This window comes from Homo sapiens, chromosome 1, assembly GCF_000001405.40.
Source record: "Homo sapiens chromosome 1, GRCh38.p14 Primary Assembly".
Classification (NCBI taxonomy): Eukaryota; Metazoa; Chordata; class Mammalia; order Primates; family Hominidae; genus Homo; species Homo sapiens.
The window spans coordinates 70,846,450-70,861,631 of NC_000001.11; the positions used below are offsets into that span (position 1 = coordinate 70,846,450).

General features: G+C 35.4%; 1 protein-coding gene and 1 long non-coding RNA gene across 10 annotated transcripts in view; one reads left to right on the forward strand and one right to left on the reverse strand.

Moving 5' to 3' along the window:
- The window catches only part of LOC102724572 (uncharacterized), a 42,841-nt gene extending 33,976 nt beyond the window's left edge, over nucleotides 1-8,865 (forward strand). For both annotated transcript variants that reach the window (XR_426711.4, XR_001737665.2), the window contains one exon: nucleotides 8,589-8,865. This is a non-coding gene — a long non-coding RNA (uncharacterized LOC102724572). The remainder of the gene's footprint in view (nucleotides 1-8,588) is intronic.
- Nucleotides 5,909-15,182, reverse strand: part of PTGER3 (prostaglandin E receptor 3) — a 195,459-nt gene continuing 186,185 nt past the window's right edge. For all 8 annotated transcript variants that reach the window (NR_028293.2, XR_946714.3, NR_028294.2 and 5 more), the window contains one exon: nucleotides 5,909-6,410. Coding sequence is in view for 3 of the 8 variants with exons in the window: in XM_011541810.4 (XP_011540112.1) it covers nucleotides 6,347-6,410 (64 nt within the window). In the remaining 5 variants the exon portion in view is untranslated. The remainder of the gene's footprint in view (nucleotides 6,411-15,182) is intronic.

Here is a 15,182-nt window from a genome sequence, read left to right on the forward strand (position 1 = left end):
AGTTTGTATGCATACTTGGGAGAAGGTCCAGAGGAGGGAATAGCCAGATCCATTGCCCTAAGGTAGAAGAATGCCTACCATGTTTAAGGAGCAACAAGGATGGCCAATGTGGATGGAGTGAATTGATTCCTAGCATAAACATGTGAATGTCTTCTAATACCCAACTCAGTCTCTGAGGGTTGAAAGATTGGGTTCAATTAGCCTACAACATGATGAAAAAGGAACCATAAATATTGAGCATCTAATATATGCCAGGCACCTTACATGTTTCCTCATTTCATCTTTATATTAATGTATTGAGGCAGTTATTATAATCACCATTTTACAAACTGGGATAATAACATGTAGGTAAGTTATATGATGAAACCAGTGTCACAAAGCTGTGAAGTAGTGAAGATGGATTCATAGGATTCCTTCAAATCCTAAGCTTTTTGGCTGCAACATCCAACCTCACTAGTGTTCATTGTGTTGAAGTTCAATTTCTAAACAAAGTAAACTGAAAATATCTAAGGATTACTAAAACTCAGCTCCAGGGATAGCAAACAGTGTCACATTGGCTACTAGGTCCAGAAGTGACTGGGGCTCCCTGTTGTTTTCCTCTCTTACCCATTTTTCAGCATTCCTTTTCCTGTTTACAGGAAGAGAAGTTATTGAAGGTGACCTCTGTACAGATCACAGACATCATTAGTTGCAGACAAGTCTTTAAAATCACCCTCCAAAGAAAGTCACATGACAAGTCTCCTGTATGCTAAATAGTGTTCCCTTTAGGGCACATTCCTGAGGAGTCATCTGATAGCACCTGCCTCCTTCTCCTCCCAGCATGTAACTGCTATGGGTATTCTGGGAGCAGTCAGCTGGGGCACCCAAATAACAGCTGTTGCCAGCAGCCCCCTCAGCCAGCTGCAACCAAAGGTTGAAATCTACCTATAATAATATCATATTTTAACCCTACATGCAGATTTTAGCATAAACTGCAGATGTTTATTCTATGAAATTTCAATTTTGACCAGCGTGAAATTTGTAATCCTTTCTTCCCTAAAGACATACGTTATCAGTTTTCTGTTAAACCCTTTTGTTACCTGTGCTTGACCATCTCTCTAATTGCACTAGATAATAATAATAAATTGAGATTACATTTTTCTGCACACACATGTGCATCATACACACACACTTATTTACTTACTCATGCTCTATCTTGTTTCACGTAAAACATGTAAAAATGTCTGTGTACATATAAGGTGACAAGATTAAAGCTGAATCCACTGACTAAATAGTTGAGGTTTGAAGAGGAAAGCAATGGCAAGTATATTGGTAGGAAAGGTAAAAAGAATTAAAATCAGTTTTTTGGAGATCATGGTATAGACAAGCTCTCATGCCCACACAGTTAACTTCCTAGCATGAATTTATGCTACTGTGGAAAAGAGGTGAAAAAGCTAGTGACATGGAAAAAATTGGACCTCCTTGTGTTCAGTCTTAGCAGAGTGTTACAAACAAAAGCAACACAAATCCAACTCTGATTAGACCTTTGTATTGTCCGCTTTCACGCTGCTGTTAAAGACATCCCCGAGACTGGGCAATTTACAAAATAAAGAGGTTTACTGGACTTACAGTTCCACGTGGCTGGGGAAGCCTTACAATCATGGCAGAAGGTAAGGAGGAACAAGTCACATTTTACATGGATGGCAGCAGGCAAAGAGAGCTTGTGCAGGGAACTCTTGTTTTTAAAACCATCAGATCTCATGAGACTTACTATCATGAGAACAGCATAGGAAAGACTTGCCCCCATGATTCAATTGCCTCCCACTGGGTTCCTCCTACAACATGTAGGAGTTGGAGAGGAGATTTGGGTGAGGACACAGTCAGACCATACAAACCTTCAAAAAGAATGAATTCAACTTCCATCCCCTATTGTGTGATGAACTAGACACTGAGCAGCTCTCCAGTGGTAGCACAATTAGACTGTGGCTAATGTATTACAAATATACCTTTTCAATGTATTTCTGGCTGTCATGAAAATAAGAAAATAAGCAGCTCTTGACAGACAATAGTCTTTGTTCTTGGAACTACTTTATGTCTGAGTATCTACTGTAGTGTCACAGATTATTATCCTTCAGGGATCTTGGAGGAGTTACTACTCTTTCTTATGGAGAGTCCATAAGATTTTTCCCCTGATAGGTAAGGTGTCATTTATTTCTTGGTGCTTTCACAATTTTTTATTTTGTCTTTAGTTATCTTCTTATTTTGATGTGTAAACTTTATAGTTTTAATAGTATGATCATGTAAGAGAAAAAATGGCATTTATGAATTTCAATCATTCCTTTAGTTCAGGCTTGTTTGTTTAAAAAACAAATAATTGAAATATTTGAAGATTAAAACAGAAACTCAAAATTTTATTAATTTAAGGAGGAAAGAATTCAAAATTTAAGTCCCAAATAAATCATTGTGTATACAAAGATTTAATACGAAGCTTTAATTATAAGGCTTTATTAACTAGCTAGTTAAATGATATTAGGGTTGTGGCTGGTAAATTAAAAGCAAATAAGAATCAATTTTACTTGAAAATAAAAGCTTTTGGAAAAAGGTATGAAGCAAGAAGTTTATCTACTCCCTCTTATATTGGACATGTGCAAGAATGGTTTTAATTATTTAGTAATCCAGACATCAAGAATTTGTAGTAAAGTGTACACACTGAAGCTGTGGGTATTCTGGGAGCAGTCAGCTGAGGCACCCAAATAACAGCTGTTGCCAGCTAATAGAAATATACTTAATATTAAAACAAGCAAACAAACAAAGAAACTTGGGAAAAATCAGGCACAAACCGCCAAAATGATTTATTTCTTTTAATTGTGATGTAGGCTGACAGAATGAAAATTAATAATCATAAAATTTTTAAGTAAAATTATTAGCCTTTTGCAATTTTTGTTGCACAGAACCCTAATCCAAGGGCATTTACTTTTCAAGCCAGATAGGATTTTGCCAGTTTCCCAAGCTAACTCCCTGATGATACAAAAATAAACTAATGAATGGCTCAGAGTTTATGAGCCATTCTCCAAGACAATTTGTCTTATTGAAATAATTGGGTGGCCCAGAACTCTGAAGAATGCTTGTCATTTTTCAAATAAAATTACTCATATTTTTGGACAGTTTTAAACTGTTCATTTGCACTATTTTTCTCTCTAATATGACATACCATTTGGAATCTAAATTTTGTTTTTATATTGTAATTCTGCTTTAGAGAAAAAATATATGTTGGATACAAATATGGACTGGGTATGTTTATCGCAAGCTATTTTTTCTTCCATATTTGTTATTATGAGTAAAAACTTCTATGATTCTTAATATAATGCATTTTCCTGTAAAAAATTTATTCTTCGACATGTAATACTTACAATTGGATGTTACCATCCTTCTTGGGCTATTATTATCAAATATTAAAGTATTACTTTCATTTCAAGAACTTCAGTAAGAAGAGAATGAATTCAGGGCTTTGCACATGAAGCCAAGCAGATGCCTGTGTTTACAAATAATAAACATAATGAAAAATTTCAATTGAAATCTAAATAAATAAATCTATGCATTTGCATGTGCCTTTATTTCTCTAGTCTATGTAAAGAGAAAAGCCAAATAGAAAGATAGGAAAACAAAACAAACAAAAAACCCTCTGACCTATATATTACAATTTGAAAAGGTGCATTCACTAGATCTCAATATTTAAGGAGGCATTGCTTCTTAAACGTCCAGAGGAATTTGTATGTTAACACCAATTTTGTGTGTGGCGGTGATGTATTAATATGATCTGGTATGTCTTAGAAATGTTTCTCTTTTTTTCAAACTGATTATGACACCCACCCATTTCAATAAATTAGCATTATCATCTCAACCAAATCGTCTTGCAGTGACATCAGATTCTCTTATTATTGCATGAGCTATGTTTGAAAAGTAATTAGAATTAATATTTCTGTTTCCTATCATCCAAATTAGCATTAATTGCACACATAACATTTTGTTTACAGCACTCACCAGACATGTAATAATCCTAGTAAAGACATGGATAGGAAAGGTCCAGAGGAAGGGAAGAGATAATATGCATGCTGAAAGGAGGGAAACCCCAGTTGAACTTAAAACTAATTTATGGAATGTGATCATATTTGACAAACAGGTTGTCCATAAAGGCAGGAAACCTTTACTATTTTTTTTTTTTTGAGTTGGACTCTTGCTCTGTCATCCAGGCTGGAGTGCAGTTGTGCGATCACGGCTCACTGCAACCTCTGCCTCCTGGGTTCAAGCGATTCTCCTGCCTCAGCCTCCCGAGCAGCTGGGACTATAGGTGCTTACCACCGCGCCTGGCTAATTTTTTGTATTTTTAGTAGAGAGAGGGTTTCACCGTGTTAGCCAGCATGGTCTTGATCTCCTGACCTTGTGATCCATATCCCAAAGTGCTTGGAATTACAGGCGTGAGCCACCGTGCCCTGCCAGACACTTACTTTTAATACCTTTTTGCATAAGTGTCAATGCTTCACAAACAAGGGATGTTCCACGAAGAAATCTGTGTGGTGGTAGCAGGGGTGAGGTGTGGTTAGAGATGGAGATTTGGGAAAATAGAAAGTATAGTAAACTGCCTGTTTCCCAGGCTGTTTCCAAGAACAAAATCTGAACTGTAGGGAGAGAAAGCGTTATGGAAATAGAGATAGAGATCGAGATAGATATAGAGATCGAGATAGAGATAGAAATAGGTAGAGATAGAGCTAGAGCTAGATGTAGAGGTAGAGCTAGAACTAGAGCTAGAGATAGAGATGAGGTGGAGATATAAGTATAGCTAGAGCTAGAGGTAGAACTAGAGGTAGAACTAGAGATAGAGATGAAGTAGAGGTAGAGACAGAAGTAGAGCTAGAGCTGGTATCAGTACTAGAGGTGGAGGTAGGGATAGAGCTAGACATAGAGGTAGAGGTAGAGGTGGAGCTAGAGGTAGAGATAGGGTTAGGGATAGGGACAGGGATAGAGCTAGAGCTATAACTAGAAATAGAGCTAGAGGTAGAGGTAGAGGTAGATGTAGAGATAGAGACGAAGGCAGAGGAAAGGGAATGGAGAGGAGGATAGGAGGAAGAATTCATAGATGATTTTATGAGAACACATTGTATTTAATAAATATCAAGAAGAATCATTATCTAGAATATTTTTTAAACCCTCACAAATCATTAAGAAATTGACATAAAACCCAAGAGATTATCAATGTTATAAACAGACCATACACAGAAAAAGAAAAAGAAGACAAAATGATTAATAGGGCTTGTAAAAGTTCTCAACCTCACATTTCATTCAATAAAATATATAATAGAGTAACAATAAAGTACTATTTCACATTGACAATGATATGGTTTGGCTCTGTGTCCCCACCCAAATCTCACCTTTAATTTTAGTTCCCATAATTCCTATTTATCATAGGAGGACTTGGTGGGAGGTAATTTAATCATGGGGGCAGTTACACTCATGATCTTCTCATGATGGTGAGTTCATTCTCACAAGATCTGATGGTTTTATAAGGGGCTTTTCCTCCTTTTGCTTGGCATTTCTCTCTCCTGCCACCATGTGCAGAAGGACGTGTTTCCTTCCCCTTCCACCATGATTGTAAGTTTTATGAAACCTTCCCAGCCATGCAGAACTGTGAGCCAATTAATCTTCTTGTCTTTATAAACTACCCAGTTTTGGGTATTTCTTCATAGCAGCATGAAAACAAATGAATACAGAGAAGGATGTAGAAAATTAAAACATCATAGACGTTGATGTAGATATACTTGGGGAAAACTCTCATATATGTGGGCATAAGAAGATGCACATGCTCTTTGACCTGGCACTTTCACTCCTAGATATTTATTTTAGAGAAAATCAGGCAGATGGGTGCAGGCAAACATGTATGAATGTAATTTTTATTTTTATTTTTGCAGTGCTCCTTGTCATGATGAGTGTGGAAATAATTTTCCCTTGGCGGGAGATTGTACAAACAAATTATGCTTTATTCAAATTATGGAATACTCTATAGCGGTTAAAATTAACGATTTAGAGCTCCATGTTTCAATGTGGATAAATCTCAAGAAACATAATTTTCAATAAAAAAATGCAAATTTTACATATGATAATGTATACGCAAATATAAATTCACAAAACAATAGGACATAAGTTTAATTGATGTATGTAGATATAGTAAAAGTACAAAAACATGTATGGAAACAGGACATAACAGCTTCTGGATAACAGTTATATTTGGGGGTGGGCTTGGGGGAAGAAGTAAAAGAGAATAGTTTGGGAGGTGGGTGTTTCTGTGATTTTTTTTTCTTTTACAAAAAGAGAGTCATGGAGCTTCCAGTGATGTGATCCTGGCAGAAAGGCAGGTTTTAATTTCCCCAAAATTCCTCCTGGAAAACAAACAAATCAATTAGGATAGCCAATAATAAATGCACTGTTAATATCTTAAATAAAAATCAAAGGCAATAAATTCTCATAAATTTCAGATTATGAACAGGAATGGTAAATCACTTACAGCAGTATAACAAGAACAAGAACAAGAACGAAGTTGTGTGACAGTAATAGTGAAAAATGAATAGGGACAACCTATGTATGCCACAAACTCGGGGTGTAAAAAATTTTTCTACAAACATCTACTAAAAGAAGAAGATCCTATATTCCTTGGGTGGAAACATGGTAAGACATGTGAGAATGCCCAGTGAAACTGGGAAAAGTCCTCAGAATCTTCCATTTGCAGATAAGATTAAAAAACTGCTTGCAGACATAAAAACATTATGGTTCTAGGCTAATTTCAATTTATAGTTAAATGACCACAGAGTTAAGCCACTAGCTAATTTCCATTTAGTGTTAAAAGACATAATAAAGAATTAGAGAAATCCAGAATGGGAGGCATTCTATAGAACAACTAAACTAATTTCTATAAGTGAATGGCTGAAGGAAAAGGGAGCAGAGGAAGAACTATTCTAAATTACGAGTGACCTAAAAAACAAACATATTAAAATGTGGACCTTGTTTAGATTTTAATTCAAGTAAGCCAGAAAACACATTTTTGAGAAAATCCATACATTTGATTAAGACCAGGTATGAGATTATGCCAAAGAAACATTATGAGTGATAATAATATTGTGGTTTTGTAGTGGGCCATAATTTTTAGAGTTATACTGAATTATGAAGGGGTAAAATAATACCATCTGATATTTGCTGAAAAATACTTCAAATAAGAAAAAGAAAAAACGTGTTTTAAATAGGTTAAGTGATCCCAAGTTACAGTAATCTAAACGGTGTGGTACTGACATAAGGACAGACATATGGATCAATAGAATAGAATAGAGGTCCCAGATAAACCCTTGTGCACGCACTCAATCAATCTTTGACAAGAGTGCCAAAACCATACAATGGGCTTAAAGGGTAGTCCTGTCAATAAATGGTGTTGAGAAAACTGGATATCCACATGCAAAAGAATGAAGTCGGATCCTTACTTTACACAATATACAAAAATAAACTCAAAATGAATTAAAGACCTAGGCATAAGACCTTAAAATATAAAACTATAAGAAGAACACAGGAGAAAAATTTTATAACAGTGGATTTGGCAATGTTTTCTTGGAGATGACACCAAAACCACAGGCAATAAAAGCAAAAATAGACAAATGAGAGTACATCAAACTTAAAGCCTTTTGCACATGAAAGGAAGCAATCCTTAGAGTGAAAAATTAACCTACGAGATGGGAGAAAATATTTCCAAATCATATATCTGGTAAGGAGTTAGATTCAGAATATATAAAGAATGCCTATAATTTAACAACAAGCAAATAGCCTAGTTAAAAAAATGGGTAAAATCCTCAAAGTGGTATTTCTCCGAAGAGTTATAAATGGCTAACAAGTGACAAGATATTCAATGTCACTAACCATTAGAGAAATGCAAATCAGAACTATAATGAGATATCACCCATTAAGATGGTGATATGGTTTGGCTCTGGGTCCCCACCCAAATCTCATGTCAAAATGTAATCTCCACATGTCAGAGGAGGGGCCTGGTGGGAGATGATTGCTCATGGGGACAGATTTCCCCCTTGCTGTTAGTGTGTTCTCATGAGATCTGATGGTTTAAAGTTGTGTGGCACACTTCCCCCTTCTCTCGGTCTCTATCCTGCTGCACCATGGTAAAATGTGCTTGCTTCCCCTTTGCATTCTGCCATAATTGTAAATTTCCTGAGGCCTCCAAAACATGCTTCTGTACAGCCTAGGGAACTGTGAGTCAAACCTCTTTTCTTCAATTACCCAGTCTCAGGTAGTTCTTTATAGCAGTGTGAGAATGGACTAATACACATGGCCACTGTCATAAAAACAGAAAATAGCAAGTGGTATTGGAATGTGGAGAAATTGCAATTCTTGTGCACTGTCAATGGGAATTGACAATGCAGCCAGTAAGAAAAACAGTATAGAGTTTCCTCAGGAAACTAAAAATGCGATTACCATATGATCCAGAAATCCCACTCTGGGTACATATCCAGAAGAATTGAAGACAGACTCTTGATGACGTATTTTCATATCCATGTTCATTACAGCATTATTCTCAATACCAAGAGGTGAAAGCAACCCAAATGTCCACTGACATATAAATGGATACAGAGAATGGAGTATATACATACAGTGGAATATTACTTAGCTTAAAAAGAGAAGGAAATTCTGTCATGTGCTATAACATTGATGAACCCTGAAGACATTATGGTAAGTAAAATAAGCCCAGTCGCAAAGAGACCAACACTGTATGATTCCACCTGTATAAGGCATCTAAATTGGTCCAACTCATAGAAAGCAGAATTGTGGATGTCAGGGGCTGTGAGGAAGGGGAAATAGAGAGTTGTTTTTCGATGGGTATAGAGTTTCAGTTTTGCAAAATGAAAAACTTTTAGAGATCTATTGCACAACAATGTGACTATTGTTAACACTATTGAACTATACACTTAGAAATGGTCAAGATGCTAATTTTTATGTTAAACATGTTATGTTAAAATGTGTTTTCTACCATAATTTTAAAAATAAATAAATAAATTAGTTCTGTGAACGCGACAAAATATCGATTATTGTTTTATCTTGGTGATTGGTATATCTAGTACTACTTTAATTTTGTGTCTATATCAAAATTTTTTTAATTTTTAGGGAAAAAGAAATTTGAAAGAATTATGACAGAGTATTAATATCTGTTCATTCAGGGAAGGGAGCAAATGGGTGTTTTCTGTGTGTTTGGAATATCTCATCATTGATAAAATCCAAAAGTAATAGCAGTAGCCAACTGGCAACATAGAACCTTAAGTTTACCCAGTTTGAATCTATGGGTCATAATTCTCAATTATCTGGAGAGACAATCATATTAACTAGTCCAGTGAGACCAGTGGAGATTATATAATCCAAATAGAGTTGTACTGGGGAAGTGGGGTCAGTTCTGAGAGGAGCGATATGGGCTTTTAGAGTTTCCAGAAAAATGTTTGCTACAGATTAAAAGGACAAGGATTTTCACGGTAGATTAAAAAGTTTGGTAATATGGCCTGGATGTTTCATAGCTTGATGCCACTATCTAGTTGTGCCACTAAGACATCCAGAGACTCTTATGCTAGTTTTTTCACTTCTCTGAAAGAGAAAAAAATGCTTGTAGACTTCCAAGGTGTCTATCACTATACTCTGATAGCTGAAGATTATAAATAATATTTTTATTTAGGAACTGTTAACAAAGTTGTCAGTTATCTTTATGACCTAGCCAAGATAACTCATTAGCTTTTATACAATGTGATTATTGAAGACATAAAAAAGCTACAAAAAATTAGCTGGGTGTGGTGGCAGGGGCCTGTAATCCCAGCTACTTGGGAGGCTGAGGCAAGAGAATCATTTGAGCCGCTGAGGTGGAAGTTGCAGTGAGTCGATATTGCACCATTGCACTCCAGCCTGGGCAGCAAAAGTGAAACTTCATCTCAAAAAAAAAAAAAAAAAAAGCAGACATTGATAGTAACATCAGCATCAAAACAGAGTTGCATTTCCCCAATTCAAGTAGGTCACAAATGATGATCAAAAACCTAACTAAAGCAAAACAATCAATTACTGAAGAAATTTGCTCTGTAATTTTATACCAACTCTTTATTATGGGCTTTTTCCCATTTTTTTAAGGTTAGAAGGTGTTTCAGAATGTGACTTAATAAGAATTTTTTAAAAGCTTACATTTTTTACTTTTTATTTTGAAATAGTTGTGGATTCATAATTTGGAAAATGGATAGTTCTTGGGTACCCTTCACTCACTTTCTCCCAATGGTTACATCTTGTATTAACAATAGTACAATGTCAAAACTGGGAAACTGACATTGGTACAATGTGGTGTATAGTTCTATGCCATCTTTTCATATGTATGCATTCCTGTAACAACCGCTAGAAGCAAGATACAGAATTCTTCCACCACCACAAAGATTTGTTGGTGTTAATATTTTACCAATTTATGTCAAACATAGAAAACTTGCCTTCTTTTAAGTCTCTGTACCTATCTTCCCAACCCATTTATAATATAGTTCTCTTAAATGTTTTTGCTACATACATTTAGATTCATATTGGAAAATATTGTACTTTTAGCTTTGACTACTAAACTAAATGTAGAACACACAAGAGGAGAAGGAACGTCTTTTGTAGTTACTTATATTTGTTGTTCTTGATGTTTTAAGATTCCTTCTCTAAGGGGTTTCTTTAGCCATTGTTTTAATGTATGTGGCTTGTGACAAATTCTCTTAATTTTCATTAATCTGAAAATGCATTTATTTTCTTTTCATTTCTGAAGGAAAATGTTGCCACATACAAAATTTGGGTTTGACAGTTCTTTTCTTTCAGGACTTGAATTTGTTGTACCATTTCCTTCTGATCATTATGATTTCTGATGAGAAATCCACTGTCATTCAAATTTTTTTTTCCCCTGATAGTTCAGGTGTCATTTATTTCTTGGTGCTTTCAAGATTTTTTTGTTCTTAGTTTTCTTTTTATTTTGATGTGGATTAGCATGGATTTCTTGTGTTTGGATTTCACTCTTATTTATTTATTTATTTATTTAGAGACAGAGTCTCACTCTGTCGCCCAGGCTGGAGTGCAGTGGCATGATCTCGGCTCCCTGCAAGCTCCGCCTCCCAGCTTCACGCCATTCTCCTGCCTCAGCCTCCCGGGTAGCTGGGACTACAGGCACCGCCACCACGCCCGGCTAATTTTTTGTATTTTTAGTAGAGACGGGGTTTCACTGTGTTAGCCAGGATGGTCTCGATTTCCCGAACTTGTGATCCACCCACCTCAGCCTCCCAGAGGAAAATATTTTCTTAACTGCAATTTTAATATAACCTAAACTATGTATTCTTGGCCCTTGTTCGCAAATAATTCATGACTACAGTTGCAATAGTAGTAGAAACATACTCATCACTCACAACACATAAATTCAGGCCAGTTTACTGGGAATAATTTCTGCTTATGTATTCTCTTCGTTGCTTTATTAAACAAAATTTTATATTTTTACTACAATATGCTTACAGAAAAGATAGTCATAAAATACAGTGAATGTCTCAAGAACCACTGATATATTTGCTCAGCCGATTTGGAACTCTGTGACCCTAGAAAGTTCACTTAATCTCTATAGTTCACATCTCAATTGGTAAAATGGGATGATAGAGGCAATGATCTACTGAGCTCAGGGATTAATACAAAACACAGATTCTTTTTTTTTTTTTTTTTGGTACAACATAGCTTTTGCTTATTTCATTGCTCTTTAGTATCACCTATAGGAAGTACACAGAAAAAGGAAACAACGTTGAAACAAATGCATCACTTTTAAACTTCAGTTCCTAAATGTACCAGTAATTATAATTGAGGTATGAACTGCAGTCACTTTTTCTAAGACAAACTTTCTAAATTTCTATTATTCTCTGAAAACCTCGTTTCTGTTGGTATAGTTTTCCTATTATTAATAAAGACATTTGATTCTGAGTTTTAGCAAACAACCTGACATAGTGAAAGGGGAGAGTGTCCTGGAGAAAGCAGGGATCATGGAATTAGGAAACTGATATTTACCACTGACTCTGGGCCAGTTTATTGAATCTCTTCAATCCTCAGATTTCTTATCTTTCAGAAAATTGGGACCAACAAAATATACCCTAAAAAGATTATAATGAGAATTTGAACTACATTACTGGTCAGATGAAAATGACATAAAACATTTTTATCAATATGCCCTGGGGTCCAGGACCTGTGTTCTTTCTCTGAGTACCTGAGTAAGCTCCTACCAACATTTGGTTTTTCAGTAGTAAAATAGAGGTAATATCTGTTTCAACTACCTCACAGAGTTATTCGTTGAACAAAAAGCAGTAAAATTACTTTTATTTATTGCAAAATGCTATAGAAATAATTAGTGTTCACTAAGGTTTTATGGAAGTTTAAACATTATTAGTTTTTTAATATTTGAATAGACTTGCTTAGGTTGAAACTTCAATAAGGTGTTAGGTATCAGACACACAGAGTTCAATGATCCGCCTTGTGTTTTTGTCCACTGCTTTCTCATTTTGCTGCTAAGGGTAAGCACCAGAGTTGGCCTGTGTCAGAATTGAGAATGAGGAGTGGGCTGCCTTTGCTGCTTCTCACTGTCCCCCACTTTCTCTGCAGTGCCCACTGTGAGATGCTCCTATTCTCATGCTGAATTTCATCCTCTTGCTCATTACTTCCATAAATTATTCCTTAGAAAGAGCAAAGAATGAATTAAATAATTAATTTTGAGCATTTGCATAACAATACAAAACTATCCTTTTTAAAGATTTGCCACATGATTTTAGTTTTGTGAAAAATGTTAGAGTCATGTATCTATTTAATCAGCATTTTCCATTTAGTGTCTTTATGGTGCCTAGTCTGTCATATTCTCATTAGTTTTCTTTTTTTCAATTTGTCAATGGCTTCACCTGTGTTCCTTACAATTATTTAGCTCTGTGTTTATCAACTTCATGAAGATTTGCATATATTGCAAGATTTACAATTTTAGTTGGCACTATATGTAGTTGGCACTGTAATTTTATTGTAATATTAGGTATTTACAGTATCTGGCAATCAGCAAGAAACAGATAAAAATGCTTTGACATAACGGGCGAAAACACAGGCTAGTGATTAATTCATCAGTGAACGTATCTGTGTTATTAAGACCTTGCATTCTTACACGACTGCCAATTGCAGGAACTCGTAAGAAATGCAGAAGGAGGCTAGCTATGACTCTATTTAAAAAGTACTACTATTATTATTCCCATTTTACACATGAGAAACTGAGCCTTATCCATGTTGAGGAAGTTGACAAGAAAGATGTTTCGTATGGCAGAATCAGGACTTAAATCTGTATCGGTTTGACTTTCTGAGTTCTTCAGACATCATAGAACTTACTATTTGGTTATGTGTTTTTGAGGAAGAGCAAAGAAAGAAGTAATGAGACAAGATAATAAAACTGTTAATTAAGTGTACTATTATGTGACCTAGACTATGCGTTTTTCATGAATTCAGAAAGAGTATGGGACCGTAATATTAGAGTGGGTGGGGGGGAGTGGGCGCTGGATTTGCAGATCATTTGGTAATGTCCTCGTTATTTGGATGAGGAAACTGAAGTCAAGACAAGTAAAGTGATTGTCCCAAACTGACAAAAATGGCTCTTAAACTAGAACTCCTACTTTTTTCTAAGATAAATTTGTAACTAATTAAAAATAATATATATTCTAATGGTCAAATTAGAACTTTTTAGTAATGTACAACAGGCACTCAAATAATATTTTATTCAATGCCATTTTATTCAACTTCATTTCATTATAACATTGATGAGAAAAAAATGTGATTCCCCATCGGGGCTACTGTCTGTGTGGAGTTTGCACATTGTTCTGTCCAGGATGGGTTTCTGCTTGGCTACCTGAGCTGTCAGGAAGGACTTTGGCCACCTGTGACCATGAACTGAAATAATAGGGTAAATAATTATCTTACTTGTTTGTATTAATCTTTCTTAAATGGATGTATAGCTTACATTTATCTCAAGGTTTAAGATTAGAAGGGTTTTGTTTTTTAGTTAGAAGTTTGGTGACATTTTTGTGAGCAGAAATACACTCTAAGAATTTATCTCTTTTTTATATTAGTTAGCCTATGGTAAAATTGACTTCAATAGTCATCATTTCACTTAAAGTTGCAGTTTTCAAGAACCTACCAATAATGTTATGTGAGACCTTATTGTACATCATAAAGTTTTTCAAACTGGAGAAGAAAAGACCATGAAAGAGAACAGAGACTTAGTACTATGGTGACACAGAAGAGGCAAAGAAAAAAGTAGAATGATTCACCCATTAAACCTGCCTTTATGGAAATTTATATAAGGCACTGTTGGGTCCTGTAGCTAAGGAATTATGGAATTATTAAGTAGCTTACACAGTCTGTTAGGGAACAGAGACAATTCTACAAAGAATACTATAATGGAGTAAGGACAATTTAAAAGGAAAGTCATAGAGTGGTATGGCCACTAGGAGTGGGAAGTTATTAATTCAGCCTAAGGGATTCCCACTGATCTTGTAAGGCTTCACAGAAGTGACAATTAAGTTTACTGGGCACCTGAGGGGCAGGGAGCTATTCCAACCAGAAAGAACTGCAAAGGGATAACGTATTATAAAGCAAATATGTTACAGGAATAGCAAGAAATTCAAAGAGGTCCTAAATACTTATGCAAAAGCCTCAGAGATGCATTTTGAATAATTTTTGGCTTGTGAAAATTGTAGAATCATTCTGACCAGAAAGGTTTTGCTCATTTCTAATTTTACTTAAGTCAAAAATCCTTCAGAATACATTTCTAACTTTCTAGTGTTAGCATTAGCAGCCTCCACATTAACATTCAAAGTTTAATAATCAGCACAACCTGTAAATGTTGACCACCCATCAACACCTGCAACACCTGCAACAACCTGCAACACCTGCTGCATCACCTTGGCTATATTTTGCTTTTATGCCTTTGAAGAAATTTGTAGACTTTGCTAGGCTACTTGCTTTTCAGTTATAAAGGGAAACATTCACATTTTACTCCATAAATTTGCACAATCATTGTGTGTCAATCAAACATAAATAAAACTTAAAGAGAAAAGAATCCA